This window comes from Homo sapiens, chromosome 5 (assembly GCF_000001405.40).
Source record: "Homo sapiens chromosome 5, GRCh38.p14 Primary Assembly".
NCBI classification, from domain to species: domain Eukaryota; kingdom Metazoa; phylum Chordata; class Mammalia; order Primates; family Hominidae; genus Homo; species Homo sapiens.
Genome location: NC_000005.10, coordinates 132,495,542 through 132,501,541, shown reverse-complemented (window position 1 = coordinate 132,501,541; position 6,000 = coordinate 132,495,542). Strand labels below are relative to the sequence as shown.

The window sequence follows — 6,000 nt, the reverse complement described above, 5'->3', positions numbered from 1 at the left end:
TAGGTGCTCTGTTTACCAGGTGGCACCTGCTTATCTGCCATAGCCAAAGTCCATCCTGAATTCCTGCCCCCACCCTTTCCCGCAGCATTGTGCCTGCACCCTTCTCTTTCTCCAAGACCCCTAAACTTCCGCCTGCTAGAGGAGGGAAAGGGGTTGGTTTTCCATATTAGCCAGCAGGGGGTGCTGTTGCCATAGGGTCAGAGCTTCTAGGGGTGTGGGCTGGGGAACCAAGCTGCTAATCCCCTGGGGAGCACCTGGGGGTGGCCCCTGGTCTTGCTGGGCAGACAGCGGGGGGAAGATGGACTGACAGACACGCCCCATCCAGCAGTGGAGGCACCCTTATCACTTCCTTCCTGCTGTGCCCAAGCATCCAAAGGGCAAGGCCGAGCAGTCTCGGGACATGGTTGTAGGTTCTAGCTGTGGTCTCCAGTGGCCTGGGCCTTCCTGGGGCAGCCTGTGGCTTTTTCACCTGCTGCCCTACTCTCTTTAGCTTAGTGTCCTTGGTTCCCTAGACTCATAACCTAGGACAGAAGCCAAGGCCTAAGATCTTGTTTTGGCCCTGGCTGTGGACATATAGACTCCTAGGCAGAGTGGGGGGTCTCCTACACTTCTCCCAGAATGGGGCACCCAGGGAGGGGGGATGGGTCCTGCTCCAGCCAGTCTCATGTCCTGGCAAATCCTGTCATCTGATTCTGCTCTCAACTAGGCCTATCTCTATCCCCTGTGGCCACAGCCCTAATATGCCTGGATCACTTGAGCTGCCTCTAGTCTACCTCCCAGCCTCCAGTGTGCAGAAGGGACCAGATAGGGTGGAGCAAGCAGGCAGGGCAGGTGCTTAGGGTGAAACCTTTAAGGAGCTACTCACCGTCAGACTCACCCAAGTATAGGGTTGGCCCCTGAGAGCGAGTACCTCCTTAAATGTTGTGCCTTTAGGAAACTATCTCACCCTAGTCTTGCCCTGGTGTGCCACAGGCGTAATCCTCTGTAGCAGCCACAGAAAGTTTTCTAAAGCATAGGTCAGGCCACCAGTGGCCCTCACAAGACCTGCCCTAGCATTTAATTCAACAGACACCTGATGATAGACCCTGGTCTGGGCCTTGGCTCCAGAAAGGAAGGCAACATCAGTCCAGCCCTGAGCGGCCTCTGTCTACCAGGATAGAGTCCACTCTTGAGCACAGCATCCAGGCTCTTCAGAGTGTGGCCCCTACTGGTTGGTCCAGCCTCAGCTTCTGGGGCAGCTACTCCAGGCCACACCAAAAGCGAGATCCGTTCTGCACTTCTGAGCTGCCAAGCCTTTCCTTGGGCTGTTTTCACGTTCTGGAATGCCCTCCCCTACTATTAGCCTATTAACCTTTGACTCATCCTTTGAGGCTTTGCTGAACTGTCCCCTCCTCAGAGTAGCCATCTGTGAACAATGACTGAGATAACCTGCTCCGTCTCCATACTCCCAGCATCTCTGCCTCTTTGCCTCTTACTCGAGGTATGACATACGTCTGGCACTGCAATCAGAGCACACTTACTAAGTGCCTACTGCCTGAGAGCAATGTGCTGGGTGCCAGAGTGGGGGTGTGGGGGTGGTTCTGAGCATCCTCTGTCCTTGGAGAGCTCACATGCAGGTTAGTAGTGGAGACCACGGTGCTTACTTCTAAGTCCCCTCACAGGGCCCAGCGTAGGCCCAAGGCTGAGAAGCATTCCAGGACCATCAGCTGTCCCTAAATCTTTAGCCTTCTGGAGTCACCTCCTCCACTAAAAGCAAAGCATAACACACTCATGCCCCAGCCCATGGGGCTGTGAGAAGCCCTCTCCAATATTCACGGGGATTCTCAAGGAAGAAATAACGGCTTTTGCTTCCTGGAGGTGACTAGCCACCAGAGGCCTCCTGGCTTAGAGCTCCCAGCATACCCTTGTCCATTTTGCTCCCAATTATGCACCCAGACCTTTAAACACTCCCAGTGCAGCAATTCATGCTGGCTATCTGATGTGGTGACACATTCACTGTGGTTTGTCACCTGTCAAGGTGGAGGGCGGTCATGCTTTCTCCCACACCATCCAGGCAGGTGGGTCTCTGCTGACCCTTTGCTCCTCTTGCCAGTCAATCAGTCAATTGGTCAACAGATGCTTTCCCAAGGACTTACTCATGCAGAGAAAAAAACTGGAATCTTTCACACCTGGCTGAGGTCCTACCTAAATTTCTTTGTGGACCTACTTTCCAGGAGAGGAATGGAACAGCCAGCTAATGTTAACAGCTCCTTTCCCCTGTTCTGTGTCTGGGTGGCCCTTGCCACTAGGCTCCCAGTCTCTGCAGGACTTTGAGGGGCCACACATGTCAACAGGGCTATGGGAAAGGGAGCAGAGGTCCCCTTGGAGAGATAGAACCTGGCAGAAACAACCACAGCGCTGCTTGGAGAAGCCACATTCTTCCTCCCCTCCTTCTGGGGCACCCACCAGTTTCTGTGGAAATTGTCTTATTGCAAAGACCATCGTGGGGAAAATGTGCATGCTGCTGAGGCCATCTGAATCCACCATCCATATTCCTATCTATCCATCTGTCTGTTCGTCCATCCATCCATCCATCCATCCATCCATCCATCCAACCATGTCACACTGGTTCATGGGGCACCTGCTCTCTGCTCAGCTGAGGCTGGCTCCTGAGGCTACAACAGTGAACAGGGCCGAGCACCCACAGGGACACCTGTTCTCCTGTCTCTGCCCTGCTTTCCTTCCATAAATATACCAATAACTCAGCATTTGCTGAGTCCAGACCACAAAGACACATTCCTGTGGGTATTTATTAGCTTGAGCTACATCTACCATTTCTAAGATGTAACATCAAATGGAGCCCAACACAGACATTCTGAGGACCAGGTCCTCTGCCAGGTCAAATTTATGGGCTAGGATTAGAGTTGGATTCCCTGGATCAAAAATACTATTTGGACCGGGCAGAGGACCAGCATCACTGTTTCTAACCCTGGGCCACAGGAGAAAGAAGGGACAACAACCTATTTGATCTGTGGCCTCACTAAAAGCTGCCACGGTTGGTGGGCCCCTCCGTGGCACTCCTTCACTGTCCTGAGCCTCATTTCCAGGGCTGCCCCTGGAGTTGGGATTCCCAGGTTGAGTCACCAGGGTTGCCAGGCGCTCATGGCACAAGCTCCACTCTTGCAGTATTTGGACTTTCCCTGGCCCTCTCCCAGGCCAGCCACCCTGATCCTAAGCCTGGGCTGGTGAAAGTCAGTGTTGGCCCATACAGGGATGCTAGGGAGGTCTTGCTGCCTCTCCTTCCACTGGCTAGCTGGCTGCTTCCAGAATAGCCACCACTGATACCTGCCCCAGCCCCAGCTCTTCTGGGCTGAGGGAGCTCCATTTAGTCTGATTTATGTCTTTCCAAGAGCCATGGTCTCAGGGCCATAAGGAAAGAGATCCTTACCATAGACTTGTGGTCTCAAAGGCATGCATTTAGGAAACATGGGCTTGCCAGTGACACTGTCCACCTTGACCCCAGGTACTGCTGTGGGCTGCAGAGATCAGGGAGGGTACTGGACTCTCCCTCTGCCACCCAAACTCCCAGCCTTCTTGTCTCAGATCCAGGGCCAACCCACCATAATCCCTGGCCTGAGCTCCAAGCCCTGGGGAGGGAAGGAAGTGGCTGACCCCACGGCCAGCATTCCTCTGTGATGACTACAGTCCGCCTTCTGCCCAGCCATCCCAGCTGGAAGGCAGTTCTCAGGGAACTACAAGGGAAGCCCCTCCCACAAAAGCCAAGGCATCTTCTGCAGAGTGGGGCTTCCTTCAACTGGGGACATGGCAGGACCTGAGTGGGCTAGGGGTCCTGTGGGGGAGCAGGTCAGAAGGCATATGGACCTCACAGATGCCTCGAACTCACCCTACTCCTTTTCTCACTTAGTAAACAGTCACAAGCCCCCCGTGGAGGTTGGTGGGTTCTAGATCCAGGAGACTAGACCAGACAGTCAGGGCTCACTCTCAAGGGCTCCAAGTCATGTTCGGGGAAATCCTCCAACAAATAAGCAAAAGAGGACACTACGGATATGATCTCAGTAAGGAGACCTCATCGTATAAGGACAATAAGATGGGATGTGACAGTGAGGGGACAGCTGGGGACCTCAGTCATTTGAGGGGATATCCCAATTCCTCAGATCCCACCTGCCTGCGCACAGTCCCCTCTTTCCCCGCGTGCACACCCTCAAACCCCTTAGCTTGTAGAACTCCTCCCTCATTCCCTAAAGGCCACCCTGCAGGCAGGTCCATCCTTCACACCCCCACCCTCAGCATGAACACCATCCGGAGAGGCCTGGGCAGGTGCATTCAGGTGGGGCTTTTCCGGGGCCGGTTTTCCCCGGCTCCCGCTGGAACTTCCAGCTGGCCACTGGCCGGTAACACTGGACGCCCGCCCGTCCCCCGGCCCCCGCCGCTGCGCAGACCTCAGCGCTCCCAGCGTGGTTCGGTTCCCGGAAACTCCTCGATTTCCCTGTTGCCGCCGCGTTTGCAAGAAACCGAAACCCAGGCTCCGCCCCTTCGGCGCGGCCCCGCGGAACCCGGCGATGGGGCTGACCCCCACTGGATGGCCGGACCCAAGCCCTCCCCTACCCGGCCCCTGCGCCCCGCCCCACCGCCAGCTGCAAGGCCCAGGCGGAGGTGGGAGCCATCTGAGTGCCTGCGCGCCGAACCCCGGCGGGCAGCATCCGTCCAGCCGCTCAGCACCACCCGCGCCTCCAACGGGAGAGCCGCAGGTCTATCCCAAGTCTCAGGCTGCAACGGATGGCAGTGCCCCGGCAAGGGACGCAACGCGGCCTTCCCCTGCGGCAATTTACAAGCGGGCGCCTTTTCTGTGCATCCCCTATGTCCCTGCGAAACCGAGCGGAAGGGGAAGGTGGGGGGGGAGCAGGGAAGTGCAGAGGTGTTCGCGGAAAGCTCTGCACCCCGATTGTTGCTAGCTCCATCTCGCAGGGTGAGATAATGGGCACAGAGAAGTTTAGTAACTTGCCTGAGGTCACACAGCCTGTAGCTGCTGACCCGGCTGCAAACCCATGGCCTATAGCAAGAGGCTGGGCGGGGAAGGAGGAGGAAGTGCCTTGGTCGCGGGCAGGTGAGCCGCCTGGCAGGGGCGGGGCTGCCAGCTTGCTGGGGGTAGGGGTGGAAGTGGGGTGGGGAGGAATAGGTAGGGAGGAGGCGGGCAGCCACCAGGGCTGGGAGGATCTGCAGTTCTCCTGCTGGCCCTCCCTTTCCAGGAAGCCGGCCAGCTTGGAGCCGGCTGCTCACCCCGACTCACCCCCCGCCTGGGCGGAGCAGGAATGTGGAAGTTGGCCCGAAAGGACTGTGCCCCCTCCCCGTCAAACACCCCCCCCCCGCGTCCCCCACCAAGTTCTGGCCGGGGCTGTGGAGCGTGGGTCACCTGGGGGCGAAGGACTCCACATCACGGTGAAGTGGAGGTGCTGCAGCCCCCACAAAGACCGAGAAGCCTGCCAGGGGCGCCCCGGGCGAACGGCAGTGGGCGTGGGCCGTTCTGCAGCACCCATTGGCGCGGGGGAGGAGAGTGCTGATCCCATCAAGCCCCGCTCCAGGTCGCGGCCGCTGGGCCTGGCCCAGGAGCCTCCCCCGGCCTCGGGGCCCCATGGGACTGACAGGGGGCTGAGTTCTCTTTCCTCCCAACGGCGGTGTTTATAAGAAATGAAGCTCCGCAGCGGCCATCAGCGGCAGCCCACACTGTCACCCCGCCCCGCTCTCAGGGGGTTCCGGAACAGCCCTGAGCACTGGAGCAATTCCTTGGCTCAGTATTCTATCATGACCCCCTAGTGATTTTCCAGCCAGCTTCAGCCCCACATTCTGCATTTAGGAATTTTATAACAGTGCAACGTTTATTCTGCTGTGTCATACAGCATATTTTGCCAAACCTTTGAGAGGGGAGGGGCTGGTCTGGTGCCCCAGTGTATCTCCAGAACCAAACCTGGGGTTCACCAAAAAGCAGGCCTGCGTGATTCATAT

The 6,000-nt window shown here is 57.2% G+C and overlaps 4 annotated features.

Annotated features, from left to right (window-relative positions):
- Window positions 409–528: an enhancer, noted in NCBI's record as "active region_23085". NCBI's record gives its function as "activates an Ori minimal core promoter by ATAC-STARR-seq in GM12878 lymphoblastoid cells {active_cell/tissue: GM12878}" and the evidence as "EXISTENCE:reporter gene assay evidence [ECO:0000049][PMID:35858748]".
- Window positions 4,143–5,117: an enhancer, noted in NCBI's record as "H3K27ac-H3K4me1 hESC enhancer chr5:131832117-131833091 (GRCh37/hg19 assembly coordinates)". NCBI's record gives its function as "activates a minimal SCP1, AML or CMV promoter by ChIP-STARR-seq in naive H9 embryonic stem cells {active_cell/tissue: H9 hESC(naive)}" and the evidence as "EXISTENCE:reporter gene assay evidence [ECO:0000049][PMID:30033119]".
- Window positions 4,517–4,776: a silencer, noted in NCBI's record as "silent region_16328". NCBI's record gives its function as "represses an Ori minimal core promoter by ATAC-STARR-seq in GM12878 lymphoblastoid cells {active_cell/tissue: GM12878}" and the evidence as "EXISTENCE:reporter gene assay evidence [ECO:0000049][PMID:35858748]".
- Window positions 5,447–5,696: a silencer, noted in NCBI's record as "silent region_16327". NCBI's record gives its function as "represses an Ori minimal core promoter by ATAC-STARR-seq in GM12878 lymphoblastoid cells {active_cell/tissue: GM12878}" and the evidence as "EXISTENCE:reporter gene assay evidence [ECO:0000049][PMID:35858748]".